Genomic DNA, 16276 nt, shown 5'->3' on the forward strand with positions numbered 1-16276 from the left:
ATCCTTTTTTATGGCTGCATAGTATTCCATGGTGTATATGTGCCGCATTTTCTTTATCCAGTCTATCATTGATGGGCATTTGGGTTGGTTCTAAGTCTTTGCTATTGTGAATAGTGCCGCAGTAAACATCCGTGTGCATGTGTCTTTATAGTAGCATGATTTATAAACCTTTGGGTATATACCCAGTAATGGGATTGCTGGGTCAAATGATATTTCTGGTTCTAGATCCTTGAGGAATTGCCACACTGTCTTCCACAATGGTTGAACTAATTTACACTGCCACTAACAGTGTAAAAGCATTTCTATTACTCCACATCCTCTCCAGTGTCTGTTGTTTCCTGACTTTTTAATGATCGCCATTCTAACTGGCGTGAGATGGTATCTCATTGTGGTTTTGATTTGCATTTCTCTAATGGCCAGTGATGATGAGCTTTTTTTCATATGTTTGTTGGCCACATAAATGTCTTCTTTGGAGAAGTGTCTGCTCATATCCTTCACCCACTTTTTGATGGGGTTGTCAAAAGCTGGAAGCATTCCCTTTGAAAACCGGCACAAGACAAGGATGCCCTCTCTCGCCACTCCTATTCAACATAGTATTGCAAATTCTGGCCAGAGCAATCAGGCAAGAAAAAGAAATAAAGGGTATTCAGATAGGAAGAGTAGAAGTCAAATTGTCTCTGTTTGCAGATGACATGATTGTATATTTAGAAAACCCCATTGTCTCAGCCCAAGATCTCCTTAAGCTGATAAGCAACTTCAGTAAAGTCTCTGGATATAAAATCAATGTGCAAAAATCACAAGCATTCCTATACACTAATAATAGAGAGCCAAATCACGAGTGAACTCCCATTCATAATTGCTACAAAGAAAATAACATACCTAGGAATAAAACTTACAAGGGATGTGAAGGACCTCTTCAAGGAGAACTACAAACCACTGCTCAAGGAAATAAGAGAGGATACAAACAAATGGAAAAACATTCCATGCTCATGCATAGGTAGAATCAATATTGTGAAAATGGCCATACTGCCTAAAGTAATTTATAGATTCAATGCTATTCCCATCAAGCTACCATGCACTTTCTTCACAGAATTAGAAAAAAACTGCTTTAAATTTCATATGGAACCAAAAAAGAGCCCATATAGCCAAGCTAATCCTAAGCAAAAAGAACAAAGCTGGAGGCTTCATGTTACCTGACTTCAAACTGTATTACAAGGCTACAGTAACCAAAGCAGCATGGTACTGGTACCAGAACAGATATATAGACCAGTGGAACAGAACAGAGGCCTCAGAAATAATGCCACAAATGATCTTTGACAAACCTGACAAAATAAGCAATGGGGAAAGGATTCCCTATTTAATAAATGGTGCTGGGAAAACTGGCTAGCCATATTCAGAAAACTGAAACTGGACCCCTTCCTTACACCTTATACAAAAATTAACTCAAGATGGATTAAAGACTTAAATGTAAGATCTAAAACCATAACAATTCTGGAAGAAAACCTAGGTAATACCATTCAGGACATAGGCATGGGCAAAGACTTCATGACTAAAACACCAAAAGAAATGGCAACAAAAACCAAAATTGACAAATGGGATCTAATTAAACTACAGAGCTTCTGCACAGCAAAAGAAACTATCATCAGAGTGAACAGGCAACCCACAGAATGGGAGAAAATTTTTGCAATCTATCCATCTGACAAAGGGCTAATATCCAGACTCTACAAGGAACTTAAACAACTTTGCGAGAGAAAAACAAGGAAAGTGTATTCTTAATGTTTCCTTGTCTCCATGATCATCCTTCTGTGATGTTTTTGTAATCATCAATTTATTCTTCATTCCTAGAGTCCTAATTATGTGATTAGAACCTTTCTAGAATTCGCTGCTAAAAAAGATGAACTACACTTGCAAAAATGACCTATACTCGATTCAGTTTCCTGGAATTGGAAGCCTGCATTCCAGATGAGGCAGCAGAAAAAGTCAGAGTTTGTTTCCTTGAAACGGTGGCTACCACTTGATCCCATACCATCTGGCAGTTGTGTGTGTTGTTTGAAAATCAAGGCATAGTTTGATGCTTGTGGGTACTGAGCTGCCAGGAGAATCTTCTCAAGAAAAATCAGGCACAGAGATCACCCAGGCTATGGTTCTTTGAGGTCAGCGCTTTTAAAAAACTTGTGTCCAGGTGTGGTGGCTCATGCCTGTAATCCCAGCACTTTGGGAGGCCGAGATGGGCAGATCACCTGAGGTCAGGAGTTCGAGACCAGCCTGGCCAACTTGGTGAAACCCCATCTCTACTAAAAATACAAAAATTAGCTGGGCGTGGTGGTGCATGCCTGTAATCCCAGCTATACAGGAGGCTGAGGCAGGAGAATCTCTTGAACCCGGGAGGCAGAGGTTGCAGTGAGCTGAGATTGCACCACTGCACTCCAGCCTGGGTGACAGAGCGAGACTCCATCTCAAACAAACAAACAAATAAACAAAAAAAAAAAACCCAAACCAAGAAACTTGTTGCCACTTTTTCTTTGACCTTCAGGTTCTCCAGATCTCCAGGATCATTCCCAGGATTAGCTGTGGGTTGGGGCCATTATTTTCATAAAGTGTAGTTGGAAGTTTCCTTAAATAGTGGGTGTACCTGTCACTGTGAATACTGGAAACCTCTTGTTATGTTTATCCATGCAAATCTTTGTTAAAAATAGTTGGCAACCCTTGTCTTTATTGTTGTGCATTGTATGCAGAACTTTCTTTGCTTTCCAGACATAAGATCCAAAAGACAAATTGTACTGAAGAAAGCGAACTGGAAAGAATGTCAAAGACTTGCCTTCTAGGGCTGGGTCTGAATGTCTGCTGGGAATGGCGGTGTGATTTGAAGAGTTGGCTCCAAATGCAGATCCACTCGGGTTTTATTAATGCTTCCTTCTGCAGGGTCCCTGCTCATCCACATAGGAAGGAGATTGAGGCTTACTTTGGAATTCCAGGGAAGTCAGCCTCAGTCTTCAGAGCATGAGGCAACACCGTGAGCAGTTTCTTAATGGTGAGGGTCACAGTTAACCCAAAAATGAGGCCAGACTGTGCTGAGAGTCTAATTTATTTCCTTCCTTCCTCCCTTCCTCCCTCCCTCCCTCCCTCCCTCCCTTCCTTCCTTCCTTCCTTCATTGTCTCACTCTGTCGCTAGGCTGGAGTGCAGGGTCATGATCTCAGCTCACTGCAACCTCTGCCTCCTGGGTTCAAGCGATTCTTGTGCCTCAGCCACCCGAGTAGCTGGGATTACAGGCACACACCACCACACCTAGCTAGTTTTTTGTTTTTTTCTTTTAATAGAGGTGGGTTTTTACCATGTTGGCCAGGTAAAAACCTGACCTTGTGATCTGCCTATTTCAGCCTCCCAAAGTGCTGGGATTACAGGCGTGAGCCACCACACCCGGCCAGGAATCTAATTTCTAAAGTGCATTTTGGGAAAAAAAAAATCCACCCACAAATCTTTATTAAAGAGTGACCCTTATTAGTCTATATGTGATTTTCTTCTTTTCTAAGTAGCACTGGTGACTCAGGTGATGCATTTTAGTGATGGAAAAACTCAAAACACAGAGACAATGCTGTGTTTCCAGGGTCTCCTAGCCCTTCTCTCCTCCTGCCCCAGAAGCCTTCAGGCCCAGCAGTGCGGTGTGTGGTCCTGCTGCACAGGTGAGCCACAGTCCTTGGAGTGGAGAGATTAGCTTGGAAAGAAGAGATCTGCAAAGCTCTTTTTGGGCGAATATTAAGTTTGGTGAATGAGTGGAGAAGTTGGGTGGGGGACTGCGACCATATTTACCAGCGAGCTCAGCGGTGGGCGTCCTGGCTGGCCCAGCATGAGAGGAGATGAAGAGTGATTGCTTCCTGGAGGAGTCTGTACTAATCCATCTTCATAAGCCTCAGCCGTGGCTCCTCTGGAGGGACAGAGCCAACGTTTCCATCTAAGTAACGCGAGGGAGGAGGGAGAGATGCTGAAGCAAGATTGTCACAGCTTAATGATACGAAATGCTCTCACCGGGGACTCTAGAAACTTGGCTTCTGTGAGTTTCATCTGCTCACCCCTGCCCTGTGTGGGCTGAGGGAGGGACTGAAAAGCTCCCCTCCTAATGTGTCAATGGCTTTGCCAGGAATTGCATCGGTGGTGTGTCAGGCGGGCTGTTGTCTGGTTTCTGTGACAGAGACCCTGAGCAACACTGGTTTAGACAAGGTAGAATTTTCTTTCTTCCCACTTGACAGTTTGAAGCCCAGTCCACTCTTCTTGGTGGTGCCATTACATTTCAGATGTTGCCCTTGTCCACGTGTCCATCACATGCACATTTCTGCCAGAGCGGAGATAAGGCCCCCTCCTCGGCCCCCTCCTTTTCTGCTGCTGCTTGTTTTTCTTTTTCAGACAGGGCCTTGCAGTCACCCAGGCTGCAGCGCAGTGGAATGATGATACCTTATGGCAGCATCCACTTCCCGGTCTCAATTGATCCTCCTGCCTCAGCCTCCTGAGTAGCTGGGACTACAGGCACGTGCCACCATGCCTGGCTCATTTTTCTATTTTTTTTTTTTGGTAGAGACAGGGTCTCACTGTGTTGCCTAGGCTTATCTATGACTCCTGGGCTTAAGCGATTCTCCTGCCTTGGCCTCTGAAAGTGCTGGGAGTACACGTGTGAGCCACCATGCCTCGCCCCTTTTATTTAAGGGTATACCCCCAACTTCCAGTAGTGCTTCCTTTTTTTTTTGAGACCGGGTCTCACTCTGTCACCCAGGCTGCAGTGCAGTGGCACGATTATGGCTCCCTGCTGCCTTGTACTCCTGGACTCAAGCAGTCTTCCCACTTTAGCCTCCCAAGTAGCTGGGACTACAGGTGCATGTCACCATGCCCAGCTAATTTTGAAATTTTTTTTGTAGAGATGAGGTCTCACTGTGTTGCCCAGGCTGGTCTTGAACTCCTGGGCTAAAGCAATCCTCCCTCCTCGGCGTCCCAGAGTGCTGGGATTCCAGGTGCGGGCCACGGCACATGGCCCTGCATCACTTCCTATTAACCTCACCTTGGCTGGAATTAGTTAAACGGCCACAGCTGCAAGGCTGCACGTGAAGGCGAGAGATGTCTTTATTCTGAGTGGTCACCTGGCCAGCCAAGGCGCTTCAGTTACTACAGAAGAAGAAAATGGGTGTGGGGACAGCTGGCATCTGCTCCAGGTGGAAGACAGCACGGGCCAATCTGACTGACCACAGCACTGTGGGTTTTTTTTTTTTTTTTTTAAAACGTTTTTGCTTCGAAAGAATTTAAGACCTGGTGCGGTGGCTGATGCTTGTAATCCCAGCACTGTAGGAGGTTGAGGCAGGAGGATCACCTGAGGTCAGGAGTTCAAGACCAGCCTGGCCAACATGCCGAAACCCCGTCTCTACTGAAAAATACAAAAATTAGCCAGGCATGGTGACTGAGGCAGGAGAATCTCTTGAACCTGGGAGACAGAGGTTGCAGTGAGCTGAGATGCGTTCCTTCATTCCGGCCTGGGCAACAGAGTGAGACTCTGCCTCAAAAAACAAAAACAAAAACAAAAAAAAGAGGAGTTGCTGGTTATGTGGATAGAAGAGAATCGAGGTGACGAGTGGGTGGTGGGCACCGTGGATGTGATGACTGCCTGCCCTGTCCAGGCATCTGCTTGTTCTGGAGTTTCATTCTCAGACATCCTCCCCAGGCCCAGAAGCAGGTGTTCTGCTACCCGTCCATAGGAATTCTTCATTAGGAATGAAGAAACTGTGTGCCACAGGGATTGATTAACAATCGTGTTTTAAGTGATAGAATTAGGTACTGTTGAAGCTATGAAATGAATTAGGCTGTGAGCTTTTTTTTTTAAGGCCAAAGATTGATTGACGGTAGTGGAATGAGACTTCGAAATTTATTAGGAGTTGCTAGAAAAATAAGGAGGGGAAAGGTCCATGTTGAACCATAGAGATTTTCCATTTGACATCAATTGCTCTTTGCTGTTCCAAGGAGGATAATTATGCTACCCGAGCTGAGATGCAGATGGGCCAGGCTCTTTTTGGACAATCTTTAGGGTAGGAGAAGCCCTCCCAGTGGTAGAGGAAGTTGACTTTTACTAGCCTTGTCTGGCATTCTTTGATGAGCTATGGTAGAGGTTAGGAAGGGCCAGGACTGAGGTGGGGGAGAATGCCACCTGGCTCTTGAGGCTGGGACCCCAGGCCTGATGCCCTCCTTATGGAAGTTCCATGCCAGGCCAGGGGGAGACTCCATGATGGTGAGTGGCTTCCATGAGAAAAAGACAACTGGGCTGGACTTGACCATGGGAGAACCAAGTCAGCAGGTGCACCAGAAGGTGTCACGGCACCTGGAGGCTGGTTCTGGCTCCAGACTTGAACCTTTTGAGTCTTGGAGGTGCTGTGTTTTCTCTTTTAGGAGAGGGGTCAGAGGCATCCAAGCTTGTTGGGTGACTACTATATCTGGGCAGTGTGCATGCGGGAACCTCCATAGCCTGTAGCTCTCTTAATACCTACAACAGCCCTGTGAGTTGAGTGATCATGTCCCTGTGCCCCGATGCCACAGCTGGCCATCAGGGAGGTTCAGTCCATTACGTAGAGTTATGCTGGTGGTGGCCAGTGCAAGGGTTTGAACCCAGCCTGAGCCCTGAAGCCTCTGCTCCATCCATACACACGAAGCTGTCCCTGTCTTGTTCGTTTTCTGTTGCTTATAACAGAGTACTTGAAGTTGGGTAATTAATAAAGAAAAGGAGGCTGGGCACAGTGGCTCACGCCTGTAATCCCAGCACTTTGGGAGGCCGAGGCAGGTGGATCACACGGCAGGAGTTCAAGAGCAGCCTGGCCAAGATGGTAAAATCCCGTCTCTACTAAAAATACAAAAATTAGCTGGGTGCTGTGACAGGCTCCTGTAACCCCAGCTACTTGGGAGGCTAAGGCAGGATAATCACTTGAACCTGGGGAGCAGAGGTTGCAGTGATCCCAGATCATGCCATTGCACTCCAGCCTGGGCAATAGAGTGAGGCGCTGTCTCAAAAAAAAAAAAAAAAAAAAAAAAAAAAGAAAAGGAATTTATTTCTTAGAGTTGTGCAGGCTGAGAAGTCTAGAGTTGAGAGTTTGTATCTGGTGAGGACCTTCTTGCTGGTGGGGACTCTCTGCAGGGTCCTGAACTGGCATAGAGCAGCAGATGGGGAGGGGACTGAGTGTGTGAGCTCAGGTCTCTCTTCCTCTTCTTAAAAAGCCACCACTCCAAAAATGGGCCCACTCCCGTGGTACCCCATGCATCCATTAACTCATTCATCCATGAGTGCATGAATGGTTCAATACACTCATGATTGCCAAGCTCTCATGACACAGTCACCTCTTAAAGGCCCCACGTCTCAGTACTGCTACTGGGGCTTAAATTTCACTGTGAGTTTTCGAGGGGACAAACATTGAAACCACAGCAGCCCCCTGTCAGTGGCCTCACTACAGCACTAGTCCTAATTGTCTACATCCGGGACCCTCATGCATGCACCACGAAGCTGCTGTCATCTGGAGCAAGGAGGGACATGGTGAGTAGGGGATGCCCAGCCGTGCAGACTCTGGAAAGCTCCTGCAAGAAGGCTCAAGGGTTAACCTGTTGAGCTTCCATTGCCCTCATCTTTTTTTTTTTGACACGGAATCCCGCTCTGTCACCCAGGCTGGAGTGCAGTGGCGCAATCTTGGCTCACTGCAACCTCCGCCTCACAGGTTCAAGCAGTTCTCCTGCCTCAGCCTCCCAAGTATCTGGGATTACAGGTGTGCACTACCACGCCCACCTAATTTTTGTATTTTTAGTAGAGACAGAGTTTCACCACGTTGGCCAGGCTGGTCTTGAACTCCTGCCCTCGTGATCCACCCGCCTTGGCCTCTCAGAGTGCTGGGATTATAAGTGTGAGCCACCGTGCCCGGCCCTCGTCTTTAAAATGAGTGTGATCTCACTGTCCTGCCGTCTGCACTGGGCAAAGTGAATACGGAGGCTCCGACCCTAAGCTGGACCTGTCACTGGATGCTGAGCTTGCGGGGAGGTGTTTCAGAACTGCAGCTCACGTGTCTAAAGCTGCAAATGGCTCTCAGATGACTCTCTTCCTGCATCCCTGCTTGGAGATACTTTCCCCTGAAGCTCCTGAGGCAGGAGAGAGGTGGAAGCATCCTTTATTTCCTGGGGTGAGGCAGCCCTTCCTCCCATGTGTCTAACGTCTCCTGCAGCCCAGCATGTCGTTCCCCACTTAGTCTGATTAAAGACTAATTTTCTAGCTCTGAAGGTGGAACTTAGAACAGACTTTTTCCTTTTCTCCAGGTGAGTGGGTTTTGCACAGATGACTCAGACCATAGACTGTGATGAACACAGAAGCAAGAGTCCAGCTTTTAGGGCCACCTTTTGGCCTGCTGAGCCCTGTGACGAGGAAGGGACGGCCTTTTGCTAGGGAAGAGCAGGTGTGGTGGCTGGGCTGCTTGACTCCCTTTGGTTTCTGAAGGCTTAGTGGTTGGGCTTGCGGTGAGACAAACGCCCAGGCTTTTAAAAACACCCTGCTCCAGGGTGGTCAATGTCACTTCACACAATGCCTTGGTATCTAAACCAACCTCTGGACTACAGCAGTTGTATCATCCAGTTTTCTGTTGACAGTCTGTGGACCTGAGCCCTTTTAAGACAGTGTGGTGGCCTGAGGAAACAAACCTGATTATTAACAAAAAATGGTGTTTTTCTTTTTTAATTTTTTTTTTTTGAGAAAGGGTCTTGCTCTGTTGCCCAGGCTGGAGTGCAGTGGTGCGATCATAGCCCACTGTAGCCTCAAACTCCTGGGCTCAAGCGACCCTCCTGGCTCAGAGTAGCTGAGATCACAGGTGCACGCTACCACGCCTGGCTAATTTCTTATTTTTTGTAAAGATAGGGTCTGTAGTGAGCTATGTTGCCTCAAACTCCTAGCCTCAAGTGATCCTCCCACCTTGGCTTCTCAAAGTACTGCGATTACACGTGTGGGCCAGAAAGCAGTGTTTTTCTGAGGGGGCCAAGGTCTTAATACAATGGCATGTTCACAAGGGCTACTGAGGCGATCTGCTGCATGCCCCTGCACCCCAGCAGGATGGTGGTTTATCTTGACAGGTGCATGCACACACCTGTACCCTTCCACCCCTGCACCAGTCAGCTCACTTCCCTGCCCAGCACCCTGCTGTGGCCTCGTTCTGCACTTTAGCACAAAATCCATGTTTTTGCTGTGGCCTGCAAAGCCTGCGTGATGTGACCCCTGCTGCCCTTTGCCTTCCATGACCTGTGCTTGTCACTTGCCAGCCACACTGGCCTTTGAGCCGTTCCTCAGACTTGCCAAGTTCCTTCTTACCTCAGAGACTTGAGGCAGGCTCCTCCTTCCCTCCCTGCGCAGGAGTCCACTTAGCAGACTTCCCTTTACGTCTCAGTGACACAGTGGGGAGGTTCCCGGCCCCTTCCCACTGCAAGGAAAGCAAGTGCCTGCTTCCAGCCTCCAAGATGGCAGGCAGCAAGGAGAATGGGTTGGGAATGGCTTTGGGCATAGCCACCCAGCAGAGCTTGTTTAGTTGAGTGTGATGGAGAGATCACCTAGACTGAATGGTGTGGGTAGCAGGTGGCAGGAGGCATGAGAGTCATTTCAGATGGTTTAGGAAAGCCTGAGTGAGAGCGAGAGATCTTCAGGAGGCTGCTGGGGTAAAGCAAAATCATGGGAGTACGGAGAGGTGAGATTTGAGAGTGTGTGTGGGTTGCTTCCCCAGATCCGTGTCGCCTGCTTCTCTGAAGATCTGAGATGGGGTGTGTGGTGGGGGGTCTAGGAAGCACTCACTGCATAGCAGTGAAATGCACAGTCTTCATTCCGGAGCAGGGCGTCCGCAGACACACCCACCCCGTGGTCATCGTTCCCAGGGCTCTGCTGGCAGAGGATGCACACAGAGGTTGTGCGCAGAGGTTGCAGTGGTTTGCAAAGGTCCAAAGCTATGTGACTGCTGAACTCTGGGAGCTCTTGGAGTTTACTGCTGGGTGAAGCTGGGTCAACTGCCCAACTGTACCTTCACCTCCCTTCGTAGAAGACAGGGTCGGGGTGGAGGAAGGGGAGCTGCCAGCTGCCAGTCTGTCCTGAGAGTGCCCAGTCACGAGCCACAGGTGCTTCCTTAAGTTTGGAGCTCTGTTCTGGAAGCAGCAGTGTGCTCCTGCCCCTACCTCCCCTCCCTCTTAAGTTTGAATCAGAACAAAGGCAGTTCTTGGTGAGGAGGCAACTCAGAAACAGGGGGCAGGGCAGACTTCGGGCACCTCCAGTGTCATCTCTGCGTGGCTGCTGAGGTGGAGATCTGGGGCTGATTTAGTCCCATCCACGTGTATTCATGAAGGTGCTGCCATCAGGCAATGTACTAGGCTGCATGCGTGAGGGAAACGCAGAAGGCATGGGTGGAATCCTGCTCACAAGGGACTCGCCATTTAGCTGGGGAGGCTGTGAAGTGAATGCCGAAGACGACAGCAGCCCCAAGCGGGAGAAGTGGCTTTGTCTCGTGAGGTCCAGGTCTCTTCTGGCAAGACAGCTTGTCTGAGCTGGGTTTTCAGTGTGAGTTTCGAGTGAAAGGGTGCTAAATCCTTGAATGTCAAAACCCACTGATTGTTCAGTTTCCAGTTATATTTTTGCTCCAACATCACTGGTCCTCAATAGCCTACTGTCCTTAGCTTAGAAGTGCAGGTACCTGCACTGGGTACAGCTGGATGTATAATTGCCATTCTCTTCCTGCCGGAGGAGGATGGAATGGAGAATATTTCCCCTGTATTCCACATGTTAAGAGATCACCTCTGCACTGGATTCATTGGAGCACCTGGAAGGAGGCCTGATGGAAACCACGCTGCCTGGGACAGCGTGGTGGACTCTGAGTCTCAGGAGATCCACATGATTCCCATTGTGTTTGTCCAGTTATGCTCTGAGTGTCTCTTGTTGCTCCGCATTTCTGGGCCTTGCTTGCCTTGACTCCAAGACTGGGCAGCATCCTCTGCTTCCCTTCCCTGCTCTCCAGGACTGAGGAAGTGGATTGAGCAGTCACTCCTTAGGCAGGCATTAGCACGGCATCTTTCATTTTGCAGATGCCTAATCTCTTTTCCCCATTGAATCACCTCCATAATTTGGGAGGTTGTCAGGAGGTGCCGTCATGCCCATTTCAGAGGTGGGGAAACTGAGCCTCAGAGCAGACAAGCCACACATCCATGGCTGCAAGGGAGGTAGAGTCGCCGAGCCGGGCTGGAACCTGGCCCCTCCTGACTACATGGCTCCTGTGTTCTGTCTAAGGATGTTCTGGTTATTTCTCAAAGTGTCAGGTGCAGAGTAGGATGGTGCAGAGTTGGTGAGATTCACTCCGGGTGTGAGATCTGCCTGCACCCTCTCAGTGGCTGGCTGCATCTAATTAATTGCAGATTATGTGTGAGAGTCTGTTTGAGAATTGCCCGTGCATATGATACCACAGCCTGAAGGGGAAGGAAGCTGTGCAGCTCCGCATCCTCATTATTTATGAGTATTTCGCATGCAATTAATCTTCCTTGCCACCAGTTAACCCCACCACTCCACTGTGCATGAGGCCAGTGACAACAGATGTTGGCCTCGCAGCCCCAGGGGCCATGGCAGACTCAGGGCTTTAGACGGGTCGGGGTCATATCTCTGCTGGTTGCATTTGGCCGGCGAGCGGCCAGCGGACAGGAACAGATGACGAGGACAGCTAATGTGCCACATTCACTTGCAGGAGCCAGAAACTGGTAGGGCTCATCTGCTATTCCTGATGAATCACAGCATCTGAGAGCTAGAAGGATTCTAGAAGATGAGCTTGTGTAACCTCCGCATTTTGTAGATGTAACATCTGAGACCCAAAGTGGGTTTGAAATGCCATGCCAGTTAGAGGCTGGGCCCACAGTCCTTGTCTGTTACTTGCCGTGACATCACATGTCTTTGCTTATAATGTCATTTTTCTCATCCTGTATATCTCCCACCTTGCTGGCCACGTTGCCTCCCGTGCCAACTCAGTGTAGGTTCCACATAGCATATGAGCTGTGACTCATTTGGTTACAAGGGACAGAAACCAGCTCAAGCCAGCTTAAGTAAAATAAGGGAATAATATCGTTCCCCTAACTCCAGCATCCAGAGGTACAGCTGCAAGTAGGCGTCCCTGGATCCCAGGGTTGGATGGTTTTCAGGTCTACCCCTGAAGGGCTCTGTTAGGAGGAGAGAGGTGCAGAGAAGCACACGTCCATGACCTGTGGCCATGCTGGCTTTGCCCCAATCCTGTTGAGGCTCTGTCTCTAAAATGACATGATGGTCTTGAGAATGTTGATTTGTGCAGAACCAACATGAAGCCCTGGCCTCCTCATTCTGAGATCCCATTCGGGAGACAGTGAGTATCACTGTGGTTATGGGTTCCAGTGTCAGATGGCCCGTGTTTCAGTCCCGGTTCTGTATCGTCATTCCTTTTTTTTTTTTTAATTTTGTTTTTGTTCTTCTTGAGACGGAGTTTTGCTCTGCTGCCTAGGCTGGAGTGCAGTGGCATGATCTCAGCTCACTGCAACCTCCGCCTCCTGGGTTCAAGCGATTCTCCTGCCTCAGCCTCCCGAGTAGCTGGGATTACAGGTGCCCCCCACCATGCCTGGCTAATTTTTTTGTATTTTTAGTAGAGACGGGGTTTCAGCATGTTGGCCAGGCTGGTCTCAAATGCATCATAATTCCTTTGTAATTTAGGGCAAATCACTTCATATGTCTCAGTTTCCTAATCTATAAAATGGGTTTGATTCTAAACACCTGCTTCGTGGCGTGATTTGGAGGGTCGAATGAGATAATTGACACATAGTTTCACCCTGTGCCTGGCACTCGGCTGGTGCCCTGCTAGCAGTTGCTATTAGGAACACTTAACTTCTCTCGGTCTTTCCATCTGTGAAATGGGGGATGACACCACCAGTTCCATCAAATAAGGGACTCGCTGGTTCCTTTAGTACAGTCAAGCCCAGACCTAGCCTTCAAGGTTGGCAGTGGATGAAAAATTGCCCCTGGCAGAAGCTGAAGTCCGTCCCTCCCCCTCCGTTGCTTTTTCCTTCAGCCCCCCTCGCTGCTTTCACTGCTGCTGGTGTTGTCTTCTTCTTGGCTGGGAATCCCATCCTATCTGTGGTAGGGACTGGATTCTCCTCCACAAGTACCGAAGGAAGAAAGTGGGTTTCTCAGTCTCCCTAGGGTTTATAGACTCATGCAGCTTTGAGAGCCAGGCCAGTGAAACCCCAGGCAGGGATGGGACACAGCAGGGTCAGACATGCTCTGACCAGAGAAATTCAGGGGAGTTTTTGCTGCCTCTACTGTATAGCCCAGGCCTTGCCCCTGGGTTGCTCCACCTTGATTTGTGTGTGTGTGTGTGTGTGTGTGTGTGTGTGTGTGTGGTGCTGGGTACTAAGTGGAATCACTCTGTAAAGGCACATAGAACAGCCTGTTATTCACAAGAGCTCATGTGAATATCTTTGCAGAATGTGCCATCTCTTCTTGCAGACCTACTGATTTTGTGTTTTGCAGTGAAGAATGGGTAGGCTCCACTATGCACGGTTTCACATTTATCTGGAGCCATCTAATTAACACCTGTACTCCACTTGTCACCTGAACCTGGTCCTTTGGCGGGTTTCTGCAATATGTTCCTCCTCGAGGCCTTTCTTTGTGAAACACATGTGTACCTCGCTTGCAGCTCTCTGCCCACTGACGGAGAAGTGAGTGAGCCTCTTGTGTAATTGATGGATAAGCCCTCCACTGCACCCCGCAAGAGGAGTATTCTTAGGGGAGCAGCTGTCTTCCTTTCCACCCTCGTCCCACTCTCCCTAACTGCTTTTTCAACTGGATCAGTAAGGATTTAGTGTTAAACAATATTTGGATTCATTGTGGTGAAATAATCCAAATTGACCGTGCCAGGTGATGGAGACAAAGATATCTGCCATACTAATTTCCAAACTCTCCTGTAAGTGCAATATAGTGATTTTGAAAAACTCTCTCTCCTAATTGTGGGAAACAGTTTGGTGGATCCTTAAAACGTTAGTGGAATTACCGCATGTCCCTGTAATTCCACTTCTAGGTACACATCCAAAAGAACTGAAAGTAGAGACTCAAACAGGTAACTATGCACAAAGGTTGATGGCAACATGATCACAATCTCCAAAAGGTGGAAACAGCTCAGTATAAATGTCCATTATCTGAAGAATGGATTAACAAATTGTGGCATATCCATACAGTGGAACATGATTCAGCTATAAAAGGAATGAGGGGCCGGGCGCAGTGGCTCATGCCTGTGATCTTACCACTTTGGGAGGCCAAGGCGGGGTGGATCACTTGAGGTCAGGAGTTTGAGACCAGCCTGGCCAACATGGTGAACGTCATCTCTACTTAAAAAATACAAAAATTAGCCGGGTGTGGTGGCGGGCACTTGTGGCCCCAGGTACTTGGGAGGCTGAGGCATGAGAATCACTTGAACCCGGGAGGCAGAGGTTGCAGTGAGCCAGGATCACGCCACCATACTCCAGCCTGGGCCACGGAGTGAGACTCCTTCTCAAAAAAAGAAGGAATGAGGCACTGATACATGCTTCAACGTGGATGAACTGTGGAAACAGGCTTAGTCAATACATGCTTCAACACAGATGAACCGTGGAAACAGGCTTAGTCAATACCTGCTTCAACGCGGACGAACCGTGGAAACAGGCTTAGTCAATACGTGCTTCAACGAGGACGAACCATGGAAACAGGCTTAGTCAATACCTGCTTCAACGCGGACGAACCGTGGAAACAGGCACGGTCAATACGTGCTTCAACGAGGACGAACCATGGAAACAGGAGTGGTCAATACGTGCTTCAATGCGGATGAACCATGGAAACAGGCGTGGTCAATACGTGCTTCAGTGCGGACGAACCATGGAAACAGGCGTGTTCAATACGTGCTTCAATGCGGACGAACCATGGAAACAGGCGTGGTCAATACGTGCTTCAGTGCGGACGAACCATGGAAACAGGCGTGGTCAATACGTGCTTCAGTGCGGACGAACCATGGAAACAGGCACGGTCAATACGTGCTTCAACGCGGATGAACCGTGGAAACAGGCATGGTCAATACGTGCTTCAATGCGGACGAACCGTGGAAACAGGCGTGGTCAATACGTGCTTCAACGCGGACGAACCGTGGAAACAGGCGTGGTCAATACGTGCTTCAATGCGGACGAACCGTGGAAACAGGCGTGGTCAATACGTGCTTCAGTGCGGACGAACCGTGGAAACAGGCGTGGTCAATACGTGCTTCAATGCGGACGAACCGTGGAAACAGGCGTGGTCAATACGTGCTTCAACGCGGACGAACCGTGGAAACAGGCTTAGTCAAAGGAGCCAGGCAAAAAGACTCTATTAAAAAAGAAGACCACATAAGAGATGATTCCGTTTCTGTGAAGCATTGGAGTACGTAAATTCATAGAGACGCAATGTGGATCAGAGGTTGCCAGGGAGGAGGATGAAATGGGAAGAAATTGCTTAATGGGTAAGAGGTTTTGCTTTGGCGTGGTAGAAACGTTCTAGAACTGGATAGTAGTGATGGTTGCACAACATTTTGAACGTACTAAAGGCCACTGAATTGTTCACTTTCAAATGGTTAATTTTATGTGATATGAATCGTACCTCAGTACATGATTTTTAAAAAACCTTCAGTTTGGCGGGGCACGGTGGCTCACAGCTGTAATCCCAGCACTTTGAGAGGCTGAGGCGGGCGGATCACAAGGTCAGGAGATTGAGACCACCCTGGCTAACACAGTGAAACCCTGTCCCTACTAAAAATACAAAAAAACTTAGCCGGGTGTGGTGGCATGTGCCTGTAGTCCTAGCTCCTTGGGAGGCTGAGGCAGGAGGATTGCTTCAACACGGGAGGCGGAGGTTGCAGTGAGCCGAGATCCCACCACTGTACTTCAGCCTGGGCGACAGAGCGAGACTCTGTCTCAAAAATAAAAACAAAGAAAAAAAACTTTCAGCTGTGCCACCGCTCCCCACCCGCTTCTCACTAGCCAAGTAAGCCTTTCGCTTAGTTCCATTGCTTCTACTGCTGGAAGCAACCTCTGCAACTTTGTGCTTTTAATTCTGGTGAGTACTCCTTTAAAGCTAAAGTGCTCATGATGCCTTTTAAAAGAAGACTGTAGATAGTAGATATACAGACCACCTTTTTTTTTTTTTTTTTTTTTTTATGAGATGGAGTCTTGCTCTGTCACCCAGGCTGGAGT

General features: G+C 48.4%; 1 protein-coding gene across 23 annotated transcripts in view; it reads left to right on the top strand.

Moving 5' to 3' along the window:
• The window catches only part of SNX29 (sorting nexin 29), a 597554-nt gene that overhangs the window by 125364 nt on the left and 455914 nt on the right, over positions 1-16276 (top strand). The window contains exon 1 of one of the 23 annotated variants that reach the window (XM_047434889.1): positions 14565-15546. The exons of the other annotated variants lie outside the window; for them this stretch is intronic. Coding sequence (XP_047290845.1) covers positions 15525-15546 — 22 coding nt within the window. The 5' untranslated portion in view covers positions 14565-15524. Of the gene's footprint in view, positions 1-14564; positions 15547-16276 lie in introns of those variants that run through there. 23 annotated transcript variants of the gene reach the window in all.

The sequence above is a fragment of the Homo sapiens genome, chromosome 16 (genome assembly GCF_000001405.40).
Source record: "Homo sapiens chromosome 16, GRCh38.p14 Primary Assembly".
NCBI lineage: Eukaryota > Metazoa > Chordata > Mammalia > Primates > Hominidae > Homo > Homo sapiens.